Source organism: Homo sapiens, chromosome 16 (assembly GCF_000001405.40).
Source record: "Homo sapiens chromosome 16, GRCh38.p14 Primary Assembly".
Taxonomy (NCBI): Eukaryota; Metazoa; Chordata; class Mammalia; order Primates; family Hominidae; genus Homo; species Homo sapiens.
The window spans coordinates 28,905,612-28,931,344 of NC_000016.10; the positions used below are offsets into that span (position 1 = coordinate 28,905,612).

At 51.7% G+C, this 25,733-nt stretch overlaps 1 protein-coding gene across 1 annotated transcript in view, besides 6 other annotated features; it reads right to left on the bottom strand.

Annotated features, from left to right (window-relative positions):
* The window catches only part of RABEP2 (rabaptin, RAB GTPase binding effector protein 2), a 20,818-nt gene extending 1,191 nt beyond the window's left edge, over positions 1-19,627 (bottom strand). Inside the window, exons 1-11 of the mRNA NM_024816.3 lie at positions 19,492-19,627; positions 18,792-19,004; positions 14,175-14,332; positions 9,061-9,171; positions 8,625-8,975; positions 5,473-5,568; positions 5,277-5,375; positions 2,998-3,153; positions 408-585; positions 256-267; positions 93-148 (exon numbers count right to left, since the gene is read on the bottom strand). Coding sequence (NP_079092.2) covers positions 93-148; positions 256-267; positions 408-585; positions 2,998-3,153; positions 5,277-5,375; positions 5,473-5,568; positions 8,625-8,975; positions 9,061-9,171; positions 14,175-14,332; positions 18,792-19,004; positions 19,492-19,552 — 1,491 coding nt within the window. The 5' untranslated portion in view covers positions 19,553-19,627. The remainder of the gene's footprint in view (positions 1-92; positions 149-255; positions 268-407; positions 586-2,997; positions 3,154-5,276; positions 5,376-5,472; positions 5,569-8,624; positions 8,976-9,060; positions 9,172-14,174; positions 14,333-18,791; positions 19,005-19,491) is intronic.
* Positions 137-985: an enhancer, noted in NCBI's record as "H3K4me1 hESC enhancer chr16:28917069-28917917 (GRCh37/hg19 assembly coordinates)". NCBI's record gives its function as "activates a minimal SCP1, AML or CMV promoter by ChIP-STARR-seq in naive H9 embryonic stem cells {active_cell/tissue: H9 hESC(naive)}" and the evidence as "EXISTENCE:reporter gene assay evidence [ECO:0000049][PMID:30033119]".
* Positions 18,759-18,848: an enhancer, noted in NCBI's record as "active region_10650". NCBI's record gives its function as "activates an Ori minimal core promoter by ATAC-STARR-seq in GM12878 lymphoblastoid cells {active_cell/tissue: GM12878}" and the evidence as "EXISTENCE:reporter gene assay evidence [ECO:0000049][PMID:35858748]".
* Positions 18,879-19,108: an enhancer, noted in NCBI's record as "active region_10651". NCBI's record gives its function as "activates an Ori minimal core promoter by ATAC-STARR-seq in GM12878 lymphoblastoid cells {active_cell/tissue: GM12878}" and the evidence as "EXISTENCE:reporter gene assay evidence [ECO:0000049][PMID:35858748]".
* Positions 19,269-19,488: a silencer, noted in NCBI's record as "silent region_7317". NCBI's record gives its function as "represses an Ori minimal core promoter by ATAC-STARR-seq in GM12878 lymphoblastoid cells {active_cell/tissue: GM12878}" and the evidence as "EXISTENCE:reporter gene assay evidence [ECO:0000049][PMID:35858748]".
* Positions 19,519-19,868: a silencer, noted in NCBI's record as "silent region_7318". NCBI's record gives its function as "represses an Ori minimal core promoter by ATAC-STARR-seq in GM12878 lymphoblastoid cells {active_cell/tissue: GM12878}" and the evidence as "EXISTENCE:reporter gene assay evidence [ECO:0000049][PMID:35858748]".
* Positions 20,087-20,670: an enhancer, noted in NCBI's record as "H3K27ac hESC enhancer chr16:28937019-28937602 (GRCh37/hg19 assembly coordinates)". NCBI's record gives its function as "activates a minimal SCP1, AML or CMV promoter by ChIP-STARR-seq in naive H9 embryonic stem cells {active_cell/tissue: H9 hESC(naive)}" and the evidence as "EXISTENCE:reporter gene assay evidence [ECO:0000049][PMID:30033119]".

The following is a 25,733-nucleotide window of genomic DNA, read 5'->3' on the forward strand; positions in this document are numbered from 1 at the left end:
CCTGAGGGAGACACAGAGGGCGGGAGGGGTGGGGGAGGGTCTTTTCCACAGCTGGGTCCCTCTCCTCCCAGTCCCCCTGCCCTCCCCCTCACCTTGCTCTGTTCCTGCTGCACCCGCTCCATCTCTGTCCTCAGGCTGCACAGGGAGGCTGGGAAGTCAGGGCAGGGGGAGACGTCAGGGCCATGCCCTCTCCCTTTCCCCACCTAGCCCAGCCAGGGTGGGCGATCCCCAAGATCACCTCCAGCACACACTCACCCTCCAGCACCTCTGTGGGAAGGAAAGAAAGAGAGGTCAAGGCCAGCCTCTCTCCCCTCCCCGCTGCTGCCCACGCCTGGGCCCCGGTGGCTCCCTGCAAGGCCGACAGGGGCCCTGGGCCCGGGGCTGGGGGCTTGTGCCCCTCCCCTCACCTGTCTCCTCCCGCTGCACCCTCAGCTGCCCCTCCAGGCTGGCCCTGGCCACTGTCTCCTCCTCCAGAGCCTCCCGCAGCGTCACGATCTCGATCCGCAGGCGCTCGGCCCCGTGCTCCTGGGCCTGCAGCCGGGCCCTCGCCTCTTGCCGCGTGCAGCACAGCAGCTGCTGCAGCTCCTGGAAGGGACGGAGGAGTCACCTGCTGGGCTGGGGCAGGAGGGCAGGAGGGCAGGGGCCACCAGCCAGACGGGGATTGTCGGGAGGAACGGGGAAGGAAGGGAGGATGGAAGCAAAGGGCTAAAGTGGGGAAGAGCCCAAAATGCCCATCATCTGGGAGGAGGACAGGTGCGCTCCGGCCCAGGAGAGGAAGCTCAGGACACACGACCATGCCCCACACCGTGGAGAGCGCTCAGGAAGAGTCCCAACCATAAAGTTCAGCAGATTACCTACAGCAAGAGCCCCTTGCCGGGCGCGGTGGCTCACACCTGCAATCTCAGTACTTTGGGAGGCTGAGGTGGGAGGATCACGTGAGGTCAGGAGTTCGAGACCAGCCTGGCCAATATGGTGAAACTCCGTTTCTACTAAAAATACAGAAAATAGCCAGGCGTGGTGGTGCACGCCTGTAGTCCCAGCTACTCCGGAGGCTGAGGCAGAAGAATCACTTGAACCTAGGAGGCAGAGGTTGCAGTGAGCCGAGATCGCGCCACTGCACTCTAGCCTGGGCGACAGAACAAGACTCCATCTCAAACAGAAACAAAAACAAAAACAAACAACAACAACAACAACAACAAATTAGCCAGCTGGTGGCCGGCGCCTGTAATCCCAGCTACTCAGGAGGCTGAGGCAGGAGAATTGCTTGACCCAAGGAGGTGGAGGTTACAGTGAATCGAGATGGTGCCACTGCACTCCAGCTGGGGCGACAGAGCGAGACTCTGTCTCAAAAAATAAAAATAAAATAAAATAAACCCTTTTGTAAAGCTCAAGAACAATGAAAGTTAAGCATCGCACTGTACATGTAATGAAAACACCGAAGACCGCAAGGGCAAAGCAGAGCCAAGGAATGGGGAGGAGGTGCCCGGAAGTGGACAGATCTCAGGGTGGGGAAGGTGCCCCATGGATCTTTTTTTTTGTTTTTTGCCTTTGTTTTTTTTTTTTTTTTGAGACAGGGTCTCACTCTGTGGCCCAGGATGGAGTGTAGTGGCATGATCACAGCTCACTGTAGCCTCAACCTCCCAGGCTCAAGCGTCCCACCTCAGACACTTGAGTTGCTGGGACTGCAGGTGGAGGCCACCACACCTGGCTAATTTTTGTATTTTTTGTAGAGACAGGGTCTCAACTATGTTGCCCAGGCTGATCTTGAACTCCTGGACTTGAGTGATCCTCCTGCCTCAGGCTCCTAAGTAGCTGGGACTATAGGCGCAAGCCACCAAGCCCAGCTAATATTTTTATTTTTATTTTTTGTAGAGACAGGGTCTTGCTTTGTTGCCCAGGCTGGTCTTGAACTCCTGGGCTCAAATGATCCTCCTGCCTCAGCCTTCTAAACTGCTGTGATTACAGGCGTGAGCCACTGTGCCCAGCCACCAAGTGATCTATTTCTAATCAATTTATTAATAAGCCATATTATTATTATTATTTTGAGATGGAGCCTTGCTCTCTCGCCAAGGCTAGAGTGCAGTGGCGCGATCTTGGCTCACTGCAACTTCTGGCTCCCAGGCCAAGTGATTCTTCTGCCTTAGCCTCCCAAGTAGCTGGGATTACAGGCACGAGCCACCACACCCAACTAATGTTCTTTTTCTTTTGAGACAGAGTTTCACTCGTTACCCAGGCTGGAGTGCAATGGCGCGATTTCGGCTCACTGCAACCTCCGCCTCCTGGGTTCAATCGATTCTCCAGCCTCAGCCTACCGAGTAGCTGGGATTACAGGTGCCCGCCACCACACCAGGCTAATTTTTGTATTTTTAGTAGAGATGGGGTTTTGCCATGTTGGGCAGGCTGGTCTCAAACTCCTGACCTCAGGTGATCCACCCACCTTGGCCTCCCAAAGTGCTGGGATTACAGGCGTGAGCCACCGCGCCTAGCCCTGACTAATTTTTTTGTATTTTTAGTAGAGACAGGGTTTTACCGTTGGCCAGGCTGGTCTCAAATTCCTGACCTCAAGTGATCCGCCCGCCTCAGCTTCTCAAAGTGCTAGGATTACAGGTGTGAGCCATCGCGCCTGGCTAATAAGCCATATTATTAAGAAAAAGTTGACAAAGGCTAGGCATAGATCCATGATGGCAGCTTGCTATAAACCAAAGATTATGATAAATTCAATCTTGTGGCTCGCGTGTCACTTAAAAATAGCAAACCAACCAAATGACTGCTTCCTTCCTGCCAAGCATTCTGTTAATTCATTTTCTTTTGATGCCAATGCTGGAAAGCATGTATGGTTCCATTTCTCAGATGAGGAAACTGAGCCTTAGAGAAGGCAAATGAGTTAGCCAAGCAAATACACAGCACCCTGGCTGGTCGTGACCAACGCTCTGCCCTGCCTGGGAAGAAGGGGCCCTCACGGTGGCTCCAGGCTCTCAGTGCCCACACTCAGCTTACTGGCACAGAGCTGGGCAGTGATTCCTCCTCGCCCTGCTCCTGCTGCGAGCCCTGGGGGGCTGAGGATGGCAGCTGCTCGGCCCGGAGCCCTTGGTTTTCCTCATTCAACCGCTTTACCTCATGGTGCAGGCACTTGTGGGTGGTGACCAGCTCCGCCTATGGACAGACAGTTAGTATAAGGCAATGAAGAGGACAGGGCGTCTCCAGTCCCTAGGAGGCCAAACCTCCTTGAACCCTCCTCCCAGACTGACAGCAAGAGAGCCCATACCCTCTCTGTTCCTAAGCAAGGAAGGAGCACTTTTTGCTACCAAGCTCTTCAGACACCTCTGTCCCTGCTAACACGCAGATTACAGGCTGCTGCCAGGGCCCAAGCCAGATATTTTACTTGGTCTATATATATATATATATATATATACACATACACACACACACACACAAATATTTAAATATATATAAATTTAAATTTTAAAAAATATATATTTTTTTGAGACAGAGTCTCCCTCTGTCACTCAGGCTGGAGTGCAATAGAGTGATCTCGGCTCACTGCAACCTCCGCCTCCCGGGTTCAAGCGATTCTCCTGCCTCAGCCTCCCAAGTAGCTGGAATTACAGGCGCCCACCATCACGCCTGGCTAATATTTGTACTTTTAGTAGAGACGGGGTTTCACCATGTTGGTCAGGTTGGTCTCAAACTCTTGACCTCAGATGATCCACCTGTCTTGGCCTCCCAAAGTGCTGGGATTACAGGTGTGAGCCACCGTGCCCGGCCCATATATATTTTTAAAACCTTAAAGTAGTTGCCAATTCTAAAAATTAAGAGACAAGCCAGGCGTGGTGCCACACACCTATAACCCTGGCTATGGGGGAGGCCAAGGTGGGAGGGTCACTTGAGGCCAGGAGTTTGAGACCAGCCTGGGCAACATAGTGAGACCCCGACTCTACAAAAAAATTTACAAATTAGCTGGGCATGGTGGTGTGAGCCTGTAGTCCCAGCTACTCAGGAGGGTGAGGCTGCAGGATTGCTTGAGCCCAGAAAGTTGAGGCTTCAGTGAGCTCTGATTGCACCACTGCACTCCAGCCTGGCCAGCCTGAGCGACAGAGCAACACACCATTTCTTAAAAAAAAAAAAACAGGAGGCCGGGCTCAGTGGCTTACGCCTGTAATCCCAGCACTTTGGGAGGCCGAGACGGGTGGATCACGAGGTCAGGAGATCGAGACCATCCTGGCTAACACGGTGAAACCCCGTCTCTACTAAAAATACAAAAAAAAATATTAACCGGGCGTGGTGGCAGGCACCTGTAGTCTCAGCTACTCGGGAGGCTGAGGCAGGAGAATGGCGTGAATCTGGGAGGCAGAGCTTGCAGTGAGCCGAGATCGTGCCACTGCACTCCAGCCTGGGTGAAAGAGCGAGACTCCGTCTCAAAAAAAAAAAAAAAAAAAAAAATAGGAGACAATACACAAATATTCATATTTTTGGTTTCTCTTGAAAAATCAGAAAATCTGGCAGCAGGGAACCTGTGTTCCTAGGTGGCCACAGTCAGCAAAGCCCAGAGGCAGGAGCCCCTTGCAGGGGCCTCTGGTTCCAGGCCGCCTACTGCCCTCCTACCCTCCTGCCCTACACCTGGCCCTGTTCAATCACGTATGTCTCCTCCCCAGTCTTTGTCAGTATCTGATTTGCTTTTTTTTTTTTTTTTTCTTTGAGACAGTTTTGCTTTCACCCAGGCTGAAGTGCAATGGCGTGATCTCGGCTCACTACAACCTCTGTCCCCTGGGTTCAAGCGATTATCCTGCCCAGCCAAGTAGCTGGGATTATAGGCGCCCACCACCATGCCCGGCTAATTTTTGTATTCTTAGTAGAGATGGGGTTTCCCTGTGTTGGCTAGGCTCGAACTCCTGACCTCAGGTGATCCAACCGCCTAGGCCTCCCAAAGTGCTAGGATTACAGGTATGAGTCACCTCGCCCAGTCAGATTTGATTTTAATCCTCATGACTCTGCAAACTAGGGCCCATTATGTCAGTTTTATAGATGGTGAGGCAGAGGCTGGGAGTCTGGGATTAGCTCAAGATCAAACAGCTCTGTGTGGCTGCAGGGGCCCTGTTCTGGCCACGGCACCAGCTGCCCCAAAACCCTCTTACCTACCTGGCACCGGTTCCAGGGTGTGGCCTGAGCAGCTGGGGACAGGACAGGTTCCTTGACTTCCCACGTGCCCCCTTCCACCACGTGCAACTGATTCCTGCTGGACTCCTCGCCCTCCTGCCCTAGGGCCCCCAGGTACTCACCATCTGCAGCTGCACCCGCTCCTGGGCCTGGCTCACGGTCCCTTGCAGGGTCCGCAGCAGCTGCTCTGAGTTCTGGACCTGGGCCAGGAGCACCTGCATCTGGGTTGGAGGGAGGGCGAAAGTGAGGGCAAGGGCATGTCAGGGGGCGGCAGGTAGCCAGAGGCCGGCTGGGGCTGCAGCAGCGGCAGGGACCCACCTGCTTGGCACAGTCCTCATTGCTCCGTCTCAGGCCCTCTTGGAGCTCGTCCCGCTCGCGACTGACGCTCTCCAGGTCCTTCTGCAGCTGTCGGCCCTGCCACAGACCCTGCCTTCAGCCTGCATCTCCCAGGAACTTGGCCCCCCTCACCACACTTCTCGTGGCCCACCTCTGCAGGGAGGTGCCCTCATCCACACAGTCCGTCAAATTACAGGCCCAGCCATCCATTCTCTTCCCTTCACTCCCCACCCATCAGCAGGCCCTGCCAGGTCCACCTCCAAAGTGGATTCCACAGGACTGGGTGGAGTGGGGTCACGCCTGTAATCCCAGCACTTTGGAAGGCCGAGGCGGGTGGATCATTTGAGGTCAGGAGTTCAAAACCAGCCTGGCCAACATGGTAAAACCCTGTCTCTACTAAAAATACAAAAAATTAGCCGGGCGTGGTGGCGGGACACCTGTAATCTCAGCTACTCGGGAAACTGAGGCAGGAGATTCACTTAAACCCAGGAAGCAGAGGTTGCAGTGAGCAGTGAGCAGAGGTTGCCGTGAGTGAGATTCCGTCTCAAAAAAGAGAAAAAAAAAAAAAAAACAGGGCCAGGCATGGTGGCTCATGCCTATAATCCCACCACTTTGGGAGGCTGAGGTGGGTGGTCAGGAGTTCAAGACCAGCCTGACCAATATGGTGAAACCTTGTCTCTACTAAAAATACAAAAAAAGTAGTTGGACGTGGTGGCGGGCCCCTGTAATCCCAGCTACTGGGGAGGCTGAGGCAGGAGAATCGCTTGAACCTGAAAGACAGAGGTTGCAGTGAGCCAAGATCAGGCCACTGCACTCCAGCCTGGGTGACAGGACAGGACTCCATCTTAAAAAAAGTGGATTCCAGCCGGGCATGGTGGCTCGCACCTGTAATCCCAGCACTTTGGGAGGCCGAGGTGGGCGGATCACGAGGTCAGGAGATCGAGACCATCCTGGCTAACATGGTGAAACCCCGTCTCTACTATAAACACAAAAAATTAGCCAGGTGTGGTGGCAGGCGCCTGTAGTCCCAGCTACTCGGAAGGCTGAGGCAGGAGTATGGCATGAACCCGGTAGGTGGAGCTAGCAGTGAGCCGAGAACCACACCACTGCACTCCAGCCTGGGTGACACAGCGAGACTCCATCTCAAAAAAAAAAAAAGTGGATTCCACATCCACCCATTTCTTCCTGTCTCTGCGGCCATCCCCTGGTCCAAGGTACCACCTTCCTGTACACCACAGTCCCAGCCTCTCAGCTTCTCCTGTGTCCCCTACCCCAACACAGCCCCAAGTAAGCTTTCTTTCTTTCTTTTTTTTTTTTTTTTTTTTGAGATGGGGTCTCACTCTGTGACCCAGGCTGGAGTGCAGTGGCGCACGATCTCAGCTCACTGCAGCATCGACCTCCTGGGCTCAAGCAATCCTCTCATCTCAACCTCTCGAAGTAGCCTGGATCATAGGCATGTGCCACTGTGCCCAGCTACTTTTTTGTGTTTTTTTGTAGGACAGGGTTTCATCATGTTGCCCAGGCTGGTCTCAAACTCCTGGGCTCCAGCATTCTGCCCGCTTCAGTGTCCCAAAGTGCTGAGATTACACGCGTGAGCCACTGCACCTGGCCCCAAGTGAGCTTTTGAAAGCCTGGAGCCGGGAGGCTTCTCCGTTGCTTAACCCTGCAGGTGCTTCCCACGTCTCCTAAGACGCACAATGCACAACAGGCCCCCGAGGTCGGACTCATGTGGCCCTGCCTTTCTTTCTGGTCTCCTCTTCTCTCCTCCCCGGTGGCCTTCCTGTTCCTCAGACACACTGTGGTCTCTCCATCCTCAGGGCCTTCGAACTCACAGTTCCTTGTGCCCCGGTTTTTTTTTCTCTTTTTTTTTGAGACACAGTTTCTCTCTGCTTCTCTTCTTGCCCGGGCTGGAGTGCAATGGCGCGATCTCGGCTTACCACAACTTCTGCCTCCTGGGTTCAAGCGATTCTCCTGCCTCAGCCTCCCAAGTAGCTGGGATTACAGGCATGCGCCACCATGCTTGTCTCCATGTTGGTCAGGCTGGTCTTGAACTCTCAACCTCAGGTGATCTGCCCATCTCGGCCTCCCAAAGTGCTGGGATTACAGGCATGAGCCACCGCGCCCGGCCTGCCCCGGTCTTTAAGAGTACTTCCTCACGCCATCTGGGTCTCAGTTCCAGCCTGAACCCGGGTCAGTCTCCCTCACTGCCAGTCTCTATCCTATAAGCCCAGTTTTGTTTTTCTCTGGGCATCTCCCTGGTGACAATGTCTTCCCCATGCATCCATGTGCATTTTTTTTTAAAGCATCTTTATTGAGTTATAATTTCTTTACCACATAATTTACCCATGTTAAATATACAATTCATTTTTTGTATCACATTATTGTTATTATTATTTTGAGACAGAGTTTCACTCTTGTTGCCCAGGATGGAGTGCAGTGGTTTGATCTTGGCTCACTGCAACCTCCGCCTCCCCAGTTCAAGCGATTCTCCTCCCTCAGCCTCCTGAGTAGCTGGGATTACGGGCATGCGCCACCACGCCCAGCTAATTTTTGTGTTTTTAGATGGGGTTTCACCATGTTGTCCAGGCTGGTCTCAAACTCCTGACCTCAGGTGATCCACCCACCTCGGCCTCCCAAAGTGCTGGGATTACAGGCATGAACCACCGCACCCGGCCTCTTTTTTTTTTTTTTTTTTTTTGAGACAGGTTCTCACTCTGTGACCCAGGCTGGAGTGGGTGGCACGATCTCGGTTCACTGCAACCTCAATCTCCTGGGCTCAAGAGATCCTCCTGCCTCAGCCTCCCAAGTAGCTGGGACTACAAGTGTATACTTGGCTTTTTTTTTTTTTTTTAACTTTTGTAAAGAGACAGGGTCTTACTATGTTGCCCAGACTGGCCTTGAACTCCTAGCCACAATCTTCCCACCCAGCTTCCGAGTGGCTGGGATGGCAGGTGTGAGCCACCGCACCTGGCCCCTATGCATGTTTACATCTGCCTGCCTTCACCAGGAGGGGGGCCTCTCTTCTCCCTGTGGAAGCTCCGGCTCTAGTTCTGGGTCTGAACACAGGTGGTGCGGGGGAAGCATCCAGCAGAGAGGGGGATGGTACACCCCGCCACCCTGCCCACAACACTCACCTCTGTCTGCAGCTGCTCCCACTGAGTGTCTGGGACGAGCTGGTAGCCAGGAGGGGGCAGGTAGATGCCCTCGGGAACCAGGGTGCCCGTAGACACCAGCGAGGCCGTCTCTTCCTGTTCAGGGCTCAGGCCCTGGCGGCTTTGGGGCAGGGAGGAGCTGCTGCCGACCCCACCGCCAAGGGAGAAGGAGGAGATGGAGGCGCTGTCATCGCAGTTGTGAGCGAAGGCCTCAGCGGCTGGACCCCCATCTCCGCTCAGCTCCTCCAGAGGCTCCAGCGGGGGCGATGGATCCCGGGACAGGGGCAGCAACTCCGTGGAGCCGTGCAGGGAAGGGGCATGCCGGGGACGTCTCTAGGGAAGGGGGCAGGGAAGAGGCTGGGGGGCCAGGGTCCTCTGGCACCCCTCCTTCCCCAGCGCCCCCTGGCCGTGCCCTCACCTGGATCTCCTGAATCAGCTCCTCGGCCCTCAGCAGCTTCGCCTTCAGCTCCTCGATCTCCTTTTCCATGGGCAGTACGATCTCCCGCAGCTTCTCCGAGTCCTCGTGGGCCTGGAGGGAGCGGGGTGTGGCAGCAATAGTTCCCCCTCCAAAGTGCTGAAGCCCCGGGTCTGTTCAGAGCTTCCTCTCCAAGCACATCAGCTCTCCTAATCCTCCCTAGAAGGTGCTGTCCACCCTCATTCCAGAGATAAGAACACAGAGGCTCTAGAAGCTTCCACGACTTGCCCCAGGACATAAGGGCAAGGATGAAGGTCACGACTTCTTCCTGTGGTCCCGTCACTCACCATGTCTTCCTTCTCCAACATCCATTTTTTTCTTTCGTCATAGAACTTTACCTTTTTTTTTTTGAGATGGAGTCTTGCTCTATCACCCAGGCTGGAGTGCAGTGGCACAATCTCGGCTCGCTGCTACCTCCGCCTCCTGGGTTCAAGCCATTCTCCTGCCTCAGCCTCCTGATTAGCTGGGACTACAGGCATGTGCACCAATGAGCTAATTTTTGTATTTTTTTGTGGAGACAGGATCTTGCTATGTTGCCCAGACTGGTTTTGAACTCCAGGCCTCAAGTGATCCTCCCACCTCAGCCTCCCAAGGTGCTGGCATTACAAGTGTGATTCCCAGCATCTGGGTTGGGATTACACCAATGGCCAGCACACTTCACATTGTTAGTTGGGCATGTGGCCTAAATCCTAAAATACCATCCACATTTCTCAGCTTCCTTGCAACTAAACAGATCATCTGGCTAAGTTCCAGCTACTGAGATGGAAACAGATAAGCCAAGGGGACCTTCCAGGACAACTCTTTATTTTATTTGTATTATTATTACATTTTTTTGAGATGGAGTCTCACTCTGTTGCCCCGACTAGAGTGGAGTGGCATAATCTCGGCTCACTGCAACCTCCGCCTCCTGGGTTCAAGCGATTCTCCTGCCTCAGCCTCATGAGTAGCTGGGATTACAGGCGCTCGCCACCACGCCCGGCTAATTTTTGTATTTTTAGTAGAGACAGGGTTTCACTATTTTGGCCAGGCTTGTCTCGAACTCCTGAAACCACCCACCTCAGCCTCCCAAAGTGCTGGGATTACAGGTGTGAGCCACCGTGCCTGGCCCAGGACAACTTTTTTTCTTTTAATAAGAAGTTTCATTCTTGTTGCCCAAGCTGGAGTGCAATGGCACTATCTCTGCTCACTGCTACCTCTGCCTCCTAGGTTCAAGCGATTCTCCTGCCTCAGCCTCCCAAGTAGCTAGAATTACAGATGCGTGCCACCACGCCCAGCTAATTTTTTTGTATTTTTAGTAGAAGGGGGTTTAACCATGTTGGCCAGGCTGGTCTCGAACTCCTGAGACCACCCATCTAGGCCTCAAATGATCTGCTCGCCTCGGCCTCCCAAAGTGCTAGGATTACAGGCATGAGCCACCGTGCCTGGCCTAGGACAACTCTTCAAAGGAAGAGGGTGTGCCTTTCTTTATTCCTCCTTCTCCTCCTTTTTGCTGGCTGGAATGTGGACATGATGGCTGGCACTCAAGCAGTCATCTTGGACCATGAGGCAATGTGCTACCTATGGCAAAACAGCAATATAGGAGAAGCCTGCTTGACAACTTGTTGAGCTGCTATACCAGTCCTGAAATGTCTACCTCTGAACTTGAAAAAAACAAATTTCTGGGCTGGGTGCAGTGGTTCATGCCTGTAATCCCAGCACTTTGGGAGGCCAAGGCGGGCAGATCACCTGAGGGCAGGAGTTTGAAACCAGCCTGGCCAACACGGCAAAACCCTGTGTGTACTAAAAATACAAAATTAGCCGGGCGTGGCAGTGGGCACCTGTAATCCCAGCTACTCAGGGAGGCTGAGTCACGAGAATCACTTGAACCCGGGAGGTGGAGGTTGCAGTGAGCCAAGATCACGTCACTGCACTCCAGCCTGGGCGACAGACTGAGACTCTTGTCTCCAAAAAAAAAAAAAAAAAAAAAAAAATTTCTGGCCAAGTGCAGTGGCTCACGCCTGTAATCTCAGCACTTTGGGAGGCCAAGGTGGGCCGATCACAAGGTCAGGAGTTCAAGACCAGACTGGCCAACGTGGTGAAACCCCATCTCTACTAAAAATACAAAAATTAGCTGGATGTGGTGGTGCGCGCCTGTAATCCCAGCTACTTGGGAGGTTGAGGAAGGAGAATTGCTTGAACCAGGACCTGGGTGCAGAGGTTGCAATGAGCTGAGATGGCACCACTGCACTCCAGCCTGGGGACGGAGCAAGACTCCATCTCAAAAAAAAAAAAAAAAAATTATGTCACATTTAAGCCACTGTTAATTTGGGTTTTCAATCACATGCAGCCAAATCTCATCCTAATCGATTTGTTCTCCCACACTCCTATCACCACCATAGAGCTGACCATATTTTCCCACCTCTTTTCAAGCTTCGGATCCTGCTGATGTTGAGCAACCAACAGCCTCTACCTATCTCCGCTTATATGTCCCACAGGCTCCTCTAACCGTAGATACCCAAAACAAACCACTCAGGGACGCTGTTCTTCCTGCCACAAACACTCAGTCAGTGAAAACGGCCCTGCTGGCCACAAGTTGTTCAAGGCAGAAATCTGCCAGTCATCCCTGTCCACATCACTCCCTACTTCTAGTTCATGCCCTTTCCACTTCTTGAATCACTTGAAATCTTCTCAAGCAAGCTGTTTAATCCTCCAAATCTCTTTTTCTTTTTTGAGACGGAATCTTGCTCTGTTGCCCAGGATGGAGTGCAGTGGTATGATCTCGGCTCACTGCAACCTCCGTCTCCTGGGTTCAAGAGACTTTCCTGCCTCAGTCTTCCGAGTAGCTGGGATTACAGGTGCCCACCACCATGCCTGGCTAATTTCTGTACTTTTTTAGTAGAGACGGGGTTTCCCCAAGTTAGCCAGGCTGGTCTCAAACTCCTGACCTCAAGTGATCTGCCCACCTCAACCTCCCAAAGGGCTAGGATTACAGGCGTGGGCCACCACGCCCAGCCCTGATGCTCCCTTCACTGTGTTGGGCAGCTTTCATTGAGCGGGGCCCTCTCCTTTACCAACCTGCGGAGGTGCTCCCTGGGGAACACTCCGGATGCACGGGACAGCCCGGATGCTGGGAAGATGTGGCTTGAAGGTCTTTGTTTCATGGGCTCCTGTCTTCATCTTTCTTTCTAACTAGGTAACTGACACCATCCCTGAGCCTGTTTCCTTATGCATGAAATAAGAATATTAATTGAAGTATCTATCTCACAGGTCTGCTATAGGATCAAATGAAGTAACAATAAAAATTTGCTTTGAAAGATGAAGCGTTTGATAATAAATATGTGCTTCCTATAATTGTTTTTTTTTTTTTTTTTTTTTTTTTTTTTGAGACGGAGTCTCGCTCTGTCGCCCAGGTGGGACTGCGGACTGCAGTGGCGCAATCTCGGCTCACTGCAAGCTCCGCTTCCCGGGTTCACGCCATTCTCCTGCCTCAGCCTCCCGAGTAGCTGGGACTACAGGCGCCCGCCACCGCGCCTGGCTAATTTTTTTTCCTATAATTGTTAATAACAGCAATAATAAAGGAGGTGACATATCATAGAGATTAAGAACACTTTCGAACCAGCCTGGGCCGGGCGCGGTGGTTCACACCTGCAATCCCAGCATTTTGGGAGGCGGAGGCGGGCCGATCACTAGAGGTCAGGAGTTCAAGACCAGCCTGGCCAACACGGTGAAACCCCGTCGCTACTAAAACTACAAAAAAATTAGCTGGGCATGGTGGCAGGTGCCTGTAATTCCAGCTATTCGGGAGGCTGAGGCAGGAGAATCACTTGAACCCAGGAGGCAGAGGTGGCAGTGAGTCGAGATTGCGCCACTGTACTCCAGCCTGGGTGACAGAGCAAGACCCTGTCTCAATAATAAATGAATAAATAAATAAAACCAGTCTGCCTAGACTTTTTTTTTTTTTAAAGAGACAGGGTCTTACTCTGTCATCCAAGCTGGAGTGCAGTGATGTGATCATAGCTTGCTGCAAGCTTGATTTCTGGCTCAAGTGATCCTCCCATGTCAGCCTCTTGAGTAGCTGGGACTACAGGTGTGCACCACCATGCCCAGTTAATTTAACAAAAAAAGTTTTTAGAGATGGGATCTTGCTATGGTGCCCAGGCTGGAGTGCAGTAGTGAGATCATAGCTCACTGCAGCTTCAAGCTCCTGGCCTCAAGCGATCCTCCTGCCTTGGCTTCCCAAAGTGCTGGGATTATAAGCATGAGTTAGTCCTCTGCTTAGATTTTAAAATCTCAACTCCACTCCCTTCTATGTGCGTAAACAGGGGAAGTACTGAATTTCCCTGAGCCTTATCGTACTCATCTGATAAATGGATCTAACAGACCTCCCTTACAGGGAATGGACTGGGGAGGCTGACTCTGTCAAGCACTAAGCACAGTGCCTAAAGCATCAGAGGCATCCTTTTTTTAAGACGAAGTCTCACTCTATTGCCCAGGTTGGAGTGCAGTGGCACGATCTTAGCTCACAGCAGCCTCTGCCTCCTGGGTTCAAGTGATCCTCCTGCCTCAACCTCCTGAGTAGCTGGGATTACAGGTGTGCGCCGCAGGCTAATTTTTATATTTTGAGTAGAGACAGGGTTTCGCCATGTTGGCCAGGCTGGTCTTGAACTCCTGACCTCAAGTGCCCCACCTGCCTTGGCCTCCCAAAGTGTTGGGATTATAGGCGTGAGCCACTGCACCAAGCCAAGAGCTAACAATATATTACCAAGAGGTAATGTACACCAGAAGTCAATATTTAATAACAGTAAGAATTTTTTTTGTTACCCTTAAGTGTAAGTTCCCTTCCCTCTACATAACTTAAGTTAATTTTGGAGCTAAGCGAACTTGGTCACCCACTAATAAGGGGCAAGCCAGGACCCTACGGAGCACAGAGCCAAGCTCTCAACAACACCTGGTAACTCTGTGCTATTCCTAGAATCACTGCTGGGTGCCCCGCACCCCATGACCAGGGAATGGGACATCCACAGTCCTCAACATTCTTCCAAATCCCAGGGCAGCAGGGAAGCCATCCCAATCCCAACCTTTTCCATCTGCTTCTCCAGGGAGTCCAGGGGGTAGGCCCGGGACAGCAGCTGCTTCAGGCGGCCCAGCTCCCGCTCCTTCTCCTCACAGTCCTGCTGCTGCTGCTGTCGCTCCTGCTTCAGGGCGGTGATCTGGGCTTCATAGCTGCTGATGGAGTCTGGTGGGGGAGAGGGAGGGTGGGAGAGAGGGAGGGTCAATGAGCCAGCCCTGCCTGTGGGCGAGCAGGGGACTCTTGATGCACTGACTCTTTCTGTGAGACAATCTACCATAGCAGTTGCCATGGCAGGCTTTGCAGAAATTGACCTGGGCAATCACTCAGCCTCTCTGTGCATCAGTGTCCTTAGGTGCAAAATGGGGACACTACTGATCATCCTTCTGGTGGCTACAGACTAAATGAGATGACATATCTAAGATAAATAGTGTACAAAAAAATAAAATAAAATAAAAAATAAAAATAGATGAGATGACACAGGCAAGGTGTCCAGCCCTTTCTCAGGCACACAGAAGATGTGACACTGTTCCTATTAATATATACCAGGAACAGTCAATATTTAAGAACGGTAAGAATTTTTTTTGGTTATTATTATTATTATTATTATTATTATTATTATTATTTTGAGACAGAGTCTCACTCTGTCACCCAGGCTGGGGTGCAGTGGTGCAATCTTGGCTCACTGCAACCTCTGCCTGCTGGGTTCAAGTGATTCTCGTGCCTCAGCGTCCTGTGTAGCTGGGATTACAGGCGCCCACCACCACCCCTGGCTAATTTTTCTATTTTTAGTAGAGACGGGGTTTTGCCATGCTGGCCAGGCTGGTCTTGAACTCCTGACCTCAAGCGATCCGCCCGCCTTGGCCTCCCAAAGTGCTGGGATTATAGGCGTGAGCCACTGCTCCCAGCCCTTTTTTTTTGTTTGTTTAATTTTACTTTAAGTTCTAGGGTACATGTGCACAACATGCAGGTTTGTTACATATGTATACATGTGCCATGTTGGTGAGCTACACCCATTAACTCGTCATTTACATTAGGTATATCTCCTAATGCTATCCCTCCCCTCTCCCCCCACCCCACCACAGGCCTCTGTTTTTTTAATTTTTGAGAAAGGGTCTCACTCTGTTGCCCAGGCTGAAGTGCAGTGTCGCAATCATGACTCACTGCAACCTCAGCCTCCTGGGCTCAAGCAATCCTCCCACCTCAGTGCCCCGAGTAGCTGGGACTACAGGCACAAACTAGCATGCCTGGCTAATTTTTGTATTTTTTGTAGAGACGGGGTCTCACCATGTTGCCCAGGCTGGTCTTGAACTCCTGAGCTCAAGCAATCCTCCCGTCTCAGCCTCCCAAAGTGCTGGGATTACAGGCATGAGCCACCACACCCGGCCCTTAATCGTAGTAATAAATATTTACGCTGGATCAGACTCTGAGCTGGGCTCTGGAAATACAGAAATTAATCAAACACAAAGCCTGCCACCGGGAGCTCACAGTCCAATGAAGAGGGCGGCTGTGGCAATAGTTAGGATGCAGTATGGGAAGAGGTACAGGAGAGGACCCTTCCTGGGCTTGGATATCCCAGAGGAAGGAGCCCTCACTCTGCCTGCCTGGCCAGGCAGGAGAGGACAGTGGTAGACAGTGAAGGAGGGAAAGATGCATGAGTTAACAGGACCAGTGTGAGCAGCGGAAGAGCAGCTGGCGTGGCTGTGGCATGGTGGAATATGTTGGAGGGACTGGAACAGTGAAGGCGCCCAAGGAGAGACACTGGAAAGGAGGCAGTGGGTGGCTCCCAGGGCCTTGAATGTGACGCCAAGAGGTTTGGAACTTATTCTACAGGTCAGCAGGAGATGGAGGTGATGTTGGATAGAACATAGATTTTTTTTTTTTTTTTTTTTTTTTTAAGGGAGTCAGGTTCGGGCGCTGTGGCTCATACCTGTAATCCCAGCACTTTGGGAGGCCGAGGTGGGCAGATCATCTAGGTCAGGAGTTCGAGACCAGCCTGGCCAACATAGTGAAACCTTGTCTCTACTGAAAACACAAAATTTAACCAGGCATGGTGGTGGGCGCCTGTAATCCCAGCTACTTGGGAGGCTGAGGCAGGAGAATTGTTTGAACCCAGGAGGCGGAGGTTGCAGTGAACCGAGATTGTGCCACCGCACTTCAGCCTGGGTGACTGAGCGGGACTCCGTCTCAAAAAACAAAAAAACAAAAAAAAGAGAGTCAGGGTCTCCCTCTGTCACCCAGGCTGGAGTGCAGTGGTGCAATCATAGTTCACTGCAGCCTTAAACTCTTGGGCTCAAGTGAACCTCCCACCTCACCCTCCCAAGTAGCAGGGACCACAGGCACTTGCCACCATACCCAGCTAAGGGTCTCACTTTGGTGCCCAGGCTGGTCTCAAACTCCTGACCTCAACTGATCCTCCCACCTGAGTAACATGGACTTGTTTGATTTTTGGTAGAACGTGGTCATTTTTTGTTTGTATAGATATTGACCTATTATTGTGCACTAACAGTAGAAGTAAAGGTTCAGCTGGGCCGGGCGTGCTGGCTCACGCCTCTAATTCCAGCACTTTGGGAGGCCGAGGTGGGCGGATCACAAGGTCAGGAGATCGAGACTATCCTGGCTAACACGGTGAAACCCCATCTCTACTAAAAATACAAAAAATGGGGCCGGGCGTGGTGGGTCACCCCTCTAATCCCAGCACTCTGGGAGGTCGAGGCAGGCAGATCACGAGGTCAGGAGATCGAGACCATCCTGGCTAACACAGTGAAACCCCGTCTCTACTAAAAATTAAAAAAAAAAATTAGTCAGGCGTGGTGGCGAGCACCTGTAGTCCCAGCTGGTTGGGAGGCTGAGGCAGGAGAATAGCATGAACCCGGGAGGTGGAGCTTGCAGTAAGCCAAGATCACACCACTGTACTCCAGCCTGGGCGACAGAGTAAGACTCCATCTCAAAAGAAAAGAAAAAAAAAATTAGCCACGTGTGGTGGCACACGCCTGTAGTCCCAGCTACTTGGGAGGCTGAGGAAGGAGAATCGCTTGAACCCGGGAGGTGGAGGTTGCAGTGAGCTGAGACTGCACCACTGAACTCCAGTCTGGGTAACAGTGAGACACTGTCTCAGAAAAAAAAAAAAATAGGTTCAGCTGTTAGGCTGCTTGGTTTCCAACCTTTGGCTGTTTTCCAGCTATATGACCTTGGGCAAGTTATTTAACCTCTCCGGGCCTCAGAGCTTCCTCTGTAAAATGGAGATGGGTAATAGTTCCTGCCTCACAGAGTTTGTTATGAAGATTAGTTACTCATAAAGCATTTAGCTCAGTGCCTGGCACATAGTGAGTGCTCAAAACATGCTACCTGGCCAGGCGCGGTGGCTCACACCTGTAATCCCAGCACTTTGGGAGGCCAAGGCAGGCAGATCGTTTGAGCTCAGGAGTTCAAGACCTGTCTGGGTAACATAGAGAGACCCTGTTTCTACAAAAAAATACTAAAAATTAGCCAGGCATGGTGGCATGCACCTGTAGTCTTGGCTACTTGGGAGGCTGAGGTAGGAGGATCTGCTTGAGCCCAGGAGGTGGAGGTTGCAGTGAGCTGAGATCACACCAGCGTGCTGTGACGCACTCCAGCTTGGGCGACAGAGTGAAACTCTTATTGACTCAAGAAAAAAAAAAAAAGCTAGCTATTGTTATTATTTAGGACACACCTGGCTTTTCTTATATAGTAGATATAACAAGTTTCCCTTAATAAATGTATGTAAACTTTTAAAATGTGGATCTATTTAAAGAACAAATATTAAGTAAACAGCACAGTAAGTTGTACAAGGATGTGTCTACATTGCACAGGCAGGTGGATCCTGAAATGTGGGAAATACAGCCCCAGAGAAGTCTCCAGCCACCAGCAGCTGTTAGAAAGGGAAATCGCATGTTGGGAAGGGAATTTTAGGAAGTTTACTCTGGAAGCCAATGTCAAGGCCACACTATAGAGGAAGATCTGTGAGAAGGTTGGGACAAAAGTCCAGGAGAGAGTTGACGAGAGCCCCACCGCAGCAGGGGCATAGCAGCGGGGGCAGCTCTGACATCTGTTTCAGAGTCTCTGGCTTCTGCTAGAGGAAGGAGAGTAGAAAACAGGATCAGCAGCTGGGGCGTCTGGGGCCAGAGGACCAAGTACAAAGAACGTGGGGCGGAGGTGGGGAAGCTGGTGCATGGCGTGGGGTGGAGGGGGGAGTGTCTGGGGAAGGCTAGAGAGCAGAGCATTAGACTCACAGAGACTGGGCCAGGGCTGATTCTATTTCCCAGAAGTCCAGACTAAAATGAGGTTGGTTTGGGGAACTGAGAAGTTTCTCGCCCATCTTCAGGGTTGATCAATCATCAGTGAGGGACAAGAAATGACATGGGACAAGGCAACAGATAGAAGCTGGGAGCTAAACTTAGCTATAACTGACAGAGCTGCTGCTATCACATGGAGGGCCTCTATGCAAATTTTAAAAGGGCGGCCCTTCCTCTGGGCCATAGGCATGCCCTGTGCCAGGCAGCCCTGCTAACCTATCCCATAGCTTATCTGTGCCCCCAATCCCTTTCTCGTCATGCACTCCCCAGTATGGGGTTGATGGGGAGTCTAGGTGAGTCCCGCGTCTCACCTTTCAGGATGGCCTGCAGCGAGGCCACCTCCTCTTGGCACTGCCGCTGCACCGCAGCCACAGCCTCGGCCTTCGTGCTCTCGCTCACCTCTGCCACAGCCTTCATGGTTTCCATTTCTGCCAGGGCGCCTGCCAGCTCAGCCCGAAGCCGGCTGAGCTCACCTGACTCGGCCTCACCATTTGCCCCTTCCTGGGACCGGGAGTCCTCCAGTGCTGTGGGGGACAGGGATCAGCCTCTCTTCCCATCTCTTACCCCAGGCCACCTACCGGCTTAGCAAGTCCTGCAACCTAGTACTGTTGCCTTCATCTGGGGCCTCCTTCACCTGGGCCCGCCCGGCTCACCTGGCCCCGCCCCTGCCCCGCCCCCTTCCCACTCGCTCTGCCGGGTGCTGCCTACACTCCATCTCTTCGCGGTGGCCAGTTTCACTCAGTCCTCTCTTCGGTCCCACCTGGCCCCGCCCTCCTAGTGGCCGCGCCCCTTCCTCACCGGGCCCCACTTCGCACCTGTCACTGGCCCTACCCCTTCAATGGCCGGGCCACGCCCCCTTTTGCCTGTGGCTGTAGGCCCCGCCCCCTTTCCCGACGGCGTGGCCCCGCCCCTTCCTCCATCATCCCTCTCCACCCCCCATCCGCAGGTGGCTGGCTCGGCCCCGCCCCCAGCATCACCGTTCCCCGCTTGCACGGACGCCCCCTCACGTACCAGCCCCCGGCCGCCGCCGCCGCTCATCGTCGTCCGCGGCCACCGGCGCAGCTGCCGCCATTGCCTCAGCGCAAACGGCGGATTCCCGCACTCCCTGGTGACGGAGCGCACCGCTTCCGGGTCCTCTCGGCTGTTTCCGGATCCGCTCGGCTGTTTCCGGATCGGCCCCGGGCTGGAGGCCCCGGACGGAGGATGGGGGGATTGCCGAGCCTCGGCCGAAGATTCCCGAGTCGGCCCCCGGCCCCGGCCCCGGCCCCGCCCCGGCTCTTCTTGGCTGGGTCGCGCGGTTCGGGAGGACGCCTGCCTTTCAAGCCCGGAAGAGGATCCTTAAGAGGTCTTGCCCGGCGTCTCTCCGTGACCTTGGAAGCCCTGCTCCAATTATGCCTCCTCCGGGACACCGGCCTGCGGAGAGCTCCCCCTCGCTCCCTCGCTGCCCCTGCCCGGAGCCAGCCTTTGATCGGCTCCGGCCGCCCTTCCGCCCGAGCCTGGCTTGCGTTACCGCGAATTGTGGCGGGGCCCTCCCTGCACCTCCGCCCTCTTGGAGCGTCCCTCGGGGCAGGGCCGGGTCGGCTTCATTTTTCTGAGCGCCTCGGAGTCCCCGCGTAGTTAGTCGGAGTCTGAAACTTGCACGTCCCCACCCCCATTTTGTTACTCAGCCAGTCACCGCTTCCTGCTGGCCCCCCTTTCCTCCTCCCAACGCCCTCAAATCCCTCCTCTCCTCTCCGCCTGTGTCTAGATCAGGCTCTTTATCTGTGACCTCCACCCGGACGGTGACAGGCAATTCAGATTTATGTCCAGAGCCTTGGTTCCCCTTCCCTCAAACCTTTTTTCCCTCTGTAAAGGACACGCCAGGAACCTGGAAGTCCTTGATTCTACGTGTCCTCCTGCAAGTCCCGTAAACTCTACTTCCAATGTGCTGACTATTCCAGAATGTGCCCCTTTTTCTCCATCTCCAGCGCTAACACTCCGTCCCAGCTCCCATCACTTCTCCTGAACTTCCGCAGTGTCGACTCCACCCTTTAATTAATTAATTCTCCGTAAAGCAGCTGGAGCGATTTTTGTAAAACAGATAATGCAGTTTGAAAATGGCCAAAGGTAGAACGCTTTTACACTGTTGGTGGGAATGTAAATTAGTTCAACCATTGTGGAAGACAGTGTGGTGATTCCTCAAAGACCTAGAACCAGAAATACCATTTGACCCAGAAATCCCATTACTGGGTATATACCTAAAGGAATATAAATCATTCTATTACAAAGATACATGCACGAGTATGTTCATTGAAGCACTATTCAAAATAGCAAAGACATGGACTCAACCCAAATGCCCATCAATGATAGACTGGATAAAGAAAATGTGGTACATATACACCATGGAATACTATACAGCCATAAAAAGGAACGAGATCATGTCCTTTGCAGGGACATGGATGAAGCTAGAAGCTATTATCCTCAGCAAATTAATGCAGCAACAGAAAGCTAAACATGCATGTTCTCACTTATAAGTGGGAGCTGAACAATGAGAACACATGGACACAGGGAGGGGACCAACACACATGGGGGCCTGTGGGGTGGGTGTTGGGAGGGGGGAGGGAGAGCATCAGCAAGAGTAGCTAATGCATCCTGGGCTTGATACCTAGGTGATGGGTTAATGGGTGCGGTAAACTACCATGGCAGATGTTTCCCTGTGTAACAAACCTGCACATCGTGCACATGTACCCCAGAACTTGAAATAAAGAAAATGGACAAAGGATATGAACGGATATTTCACTGCTGTCACAGGTGGCAATATGTGCATGAAAAGATGTTAAACATCATTAGCTATTTATTCGGGAAATACAAATTAAAACCACAATTGCTTTCATCACTACGCACTTCTTGGAATGGCTAAAATAAGAATGCTAACACCAAATGCTGGTGAGTATGTGGAGAAACTAGGTTTCTCATATTTTGTTGATGGGAATGTGAAATGGTATAGCCACTCTGCAAAAAGAGTATGGCAGTTTTGAACAAAACTAAACACGCACTTACTTTTTCATCAAGTATAAAACCAAGTGTTTTCCACCAAGCTTGGAGCTGAGGTCTCGGCTCAAATGTTACCTCCTCAGTGAGGCCTTCCCTGATCACCCTAACTAAAATAACCACCTCTGGCTGAGTGTGGTGGCTTATGCCTATAATGCTAGCACTTTAGGAGGCCAATGGCAGGAGGATCACTTGAGCCCAGGGGTTCGAGACCAGCCTGAACAACATAGTGAGACCTCATCTCTACAAAAAATTAAAAAATTAGCTGGGCATGGCCGGACACGGTGGCTCACGCCTGTAATCCCAGCACTTTGGGAGGCTGAGGAGGGCGGATCACGAGGTTAGGAGATCAAGACCATCCTGGCTAACATGGTGAAACCCTGTCTCTACTAAAAATACAAAAAATTAGCCGGGCATGGTGGCATGCGCCTATAGTCCCAGCTACTTGGGAGGCTGAGGCAGGAGAATTGCTTGAACCCGGGAGGCAGAGGTTGCAGTGAGCTGAGATCATGCCATTACACTCCAGCCTGGGCAGCAGAGCAAGACTCTGTCTCAAAAAAAAAAAAAAATTAGCTGGGCATGGTGATGTGCATCTGTAGTCCAAGCTACTCAAGAGGCTGAGGCGGGAAGATCTACTTGAGCCCTGGAGGCTGAGGCTGCAGTGAGCATGATTGTGCCACTGCACTCCAGCCTGAGGGAGAGAAAGACCCTGTCTAAAAAAAAAAAAAAAAAATTAAATCCAGACTCCCTGTGCATGCAGCAGGGTTTCTGGGGAAGGGGCTGAAATAATGACTAGAAATCAGCCTCCAGTCAGTTTGGGGAGGGCCTTCCTGACAGCTCTCAGGTTTGAGTTTATCCTGCAGGCCCTGGGAGCCACTGAAGGCCATTGAACAGGGGAAGCACATGACTAACATCAAAGAAGTTCTCTTGACATGCGGAGTGTAGATGGGAACCAAAAGATATAGGGGACAGGGAGCCCAGGAGAGAGGCTGTTGAATTGCTTCTGATTGTGAAGGAAGGATTCAGAGGGGAAAATTGATTCCATCAATATTTAGGATATAAAATGGACTGGCCTTGATGATAGAGTGCATGTGGGGGAAGAGAAAAGAAAATTTCGACCAGATGCGGTGGCTCATGCCTGTAATCCCAGCACTTTGGGAGGCTGAGTTGGGTGGATCACCTGAGGTCAGGAGTTCAAGACCAGCCTGGCCAACATGGTGAAACCTTGTCTCTACTAAAAATAGAAAAATTAGCTGGGCGTGGTGGTGCGCACCTGTAATCCCAGCTACTCAGGTGGCTGAGGCAGGAGAATCACTTGAACCTGGAAGGCAGATGTTGCAGTGAGCCGAGATCGCATTACTGTACTCCAGCCTGGGCAACAAGAGTGAAACTCTGTCTCAAAAAAAAAAAAAGAAAAGAAAATTTTCTTTCAGCTAGGTACGGTGGCTCATGCCTGTAATCCCAGCACTTTGGGAGGCTGAGGCAGGAAGATTGCCTGGGCCCAGGAGTTCAAGACCAGCCTGGGCAATATAGTGAGAAAGGAGAATAAAAGGAGCTTTCCTCGCCTCTACAAAAAAAGGGAGAGAGTTTTCTTCCTAACTTCTTTTCCTTTTTTTTTTTTTTTGAAATGCTCTTGTCTCCCAGGCTGGAGTGCAATGGCGCGATCTTCACTCACTGCAACCTCCGCCTTTCAAGTTCAAGCGATTCTCCTGCTTCAGCCTCCCAAGTAGCTGGGATTACAAGCGCGCACCACCGCACCAAGCTAATTTTTGTATTTTTAGTAGAGATGGGGTTTCACCATGTTGGCCAGGCTGGCCTTGAACTCCTGACCTCAAATGATCCGCCCCGCTCAGTCTCTCAAAGTGCTGGGATTACATGAGCTACCTTGCCTGGCCCCTAACTTCTTTTCTTTCCTTTATCCAGCAAATACCTATTGAGTGTCTACTAGATGCCTGTGCACATCTAGGGATGGTAAAGATTTCTGTTCTCAAAGAACATTCTGGTGCAGGAGGCAGATGAGAAGACTAGCAAATACACATGCATAATTTGAGATTGGGGCAAGTGCTGGGAATGAAATAGGGGCATGCGATCAAAAAAGCATGTGAGTAAAGGGAATTTGAGAAGGTTTTCTTTTTCTTTTTTCTTTTCTTTTCTTTCTTTTTTTTTTTTTTTTTTTTTTGAGACAGAGACTCTGTCATCCAGGCTGGAGTGCAAAGGTGCAATCTCGGCTCACTGCAACCTCTGCCTCCCAGGTTCAAGCAATTCTCCTGCCTCAGCCTCCCGAGTAGCTGGGATTATAGGCATGAGTTAATTTTTTTGTATTTTTAGTAGATACTGGGTTTCACCATGTTGGCCAGGCTGGTCTCATTCTCCTGACCTCAAGTAATCCACCCGCCTCAGCCTCCCAAAGTGCTGAGATTACAGGCATGAACCACTGTGCCCAGTCTTTTTTTCATATTTTTTGTAGAGATGGTGTTTCACCATGTTGCCCAGGCTAGACTTGAACTCCTGGGCTCAAGTGATCCTCCCACCTCAGCCTCCTGAGTAGCTGAGACTACAGGTATGCACCATCATGCCCAGATACATTTTTTTTGGTATTTTTAGTAAAGACGGATTTCTCCATTTTGCCCAGGCTGGTTTCGAACTCCTGGGCTCAAATGATCTGCCCACCTGGGCTTCCCAAAGTGCTGGGATTACAGGCGTGAGCCACCGCGCCCAGCCGAGATATATATATATATATATATATATATATATATATATATATATATATATAGAGAGAGAGAGAGAGAGAGAGAGAGAGAGAGAGAGAGAGAAAGAAAGAGAGCAGGCTCTTGTTGCCCAGGCTGGAGTGCAGTGGTGCCATCTTGGCTCACTGCAACCTCCATCCCCCTGATCCTCCCGCCTCAGCCTCCCAAGTAGCTGGGACCACAGGCATGTGCCACCACACCCAGCTAATTTTTTGTATTTTTGGTAGAGATGGGTTTTGCCATATTGCCCAGGCTGGTCTCCAACTCCTGAGCACAAGCAATCTGCCTGCCTTGGCCCCACAAAGTGCTGGGAGGTGTGAGTCACCTCGCCTGGCCTGAGATATATTTTTTTAAATAATAATATATAGATTTTTGAAGCACTGGGGGGCACAGGGAAGGCCTCTTTGAAGAAGTACCATTTGAACTGAGACCTAAGTGATGAAAAGAACCAGTCCAGCAAAGAACCAGAGCCCCCAGCAGAGATCCAGGAAAAAGGGCTGCAAGTGCAAGGGCCCTGAGGCAGGGAAGCACTTGGCAAGGAGAGTGGTGGAGGCACGAGGTGGAAAATGTAGGTAGGTCAGCAACACTCGGCCTACTAGGCCTTGGGTTGGAGTTTTTATTTTAGCTAGATGAAAAGCAACTGACATTTTTTGTTTTTTAAAAAATTTCTATAGAGATGGGTTCTCGCTGTGTTGCACAGGCTGGTCTCAAATTCCTGTCCTCAAAGGATCCTCTCGCCTCGGCCTCCTAAAGTATTGGGATTACAGGCATGAGCCTCTGTGCCTGGCTGTAACTGACATGTTTTAAGCAGGGGAATGACATGCTCTAGTGAAAGCCAGTCTGGGCAGCTGGGTAGCTAATGAGGGGATTAGAGAGATTTTGTTGAATGAAAGGCAGATTGAGTCCTGCTACTCGCCCCCTTCATTCCCCTTCATTCATGCCTCATTCTTCCGCCTCCCAGCCGCCTCAACTGGCCAAAGGGAAGTGGAGGCCCTGCCACCTGTAGGGAGGGTCCCCTGGGGCTTGCCCACAGCAAACAGGAAGTCACAGCCTGGTGAGATGGGCCTGGGAATCAGCCACTGAGAAAGTGGGTCTCTTGGGTCCCTGAATTCTTTTTCTGAGTCCCTGCAGCAGTGAAAAAGACACAGAGGCACATAGAGAGTGACAGAGAAAGAGAGAGACAGAGAGGAGAGGCATGGGGCAGAATAAGAACAGATTTAGGAGTTAGAACTCCTGGGTTCTTTTAAAACAATTTTTCTTTTAGAGACAGGGTCTTGTTGTGTTGCCCGGACTGGAGCACAGTGGCTATTCCCAGGCATAATCATGGTGCACTGCAGCCTTGAACTCCTGGGCTCAAGCGATCCTTCTACCTCAGCCTCCCAAGGACCTGGGACCATAGGCGTGTACCACTGTGCCTGGCTTTTGCCTGGTTTTAAACTGAGGCAGTATGACTTGAGCTCTTAGGCATTAATTGAA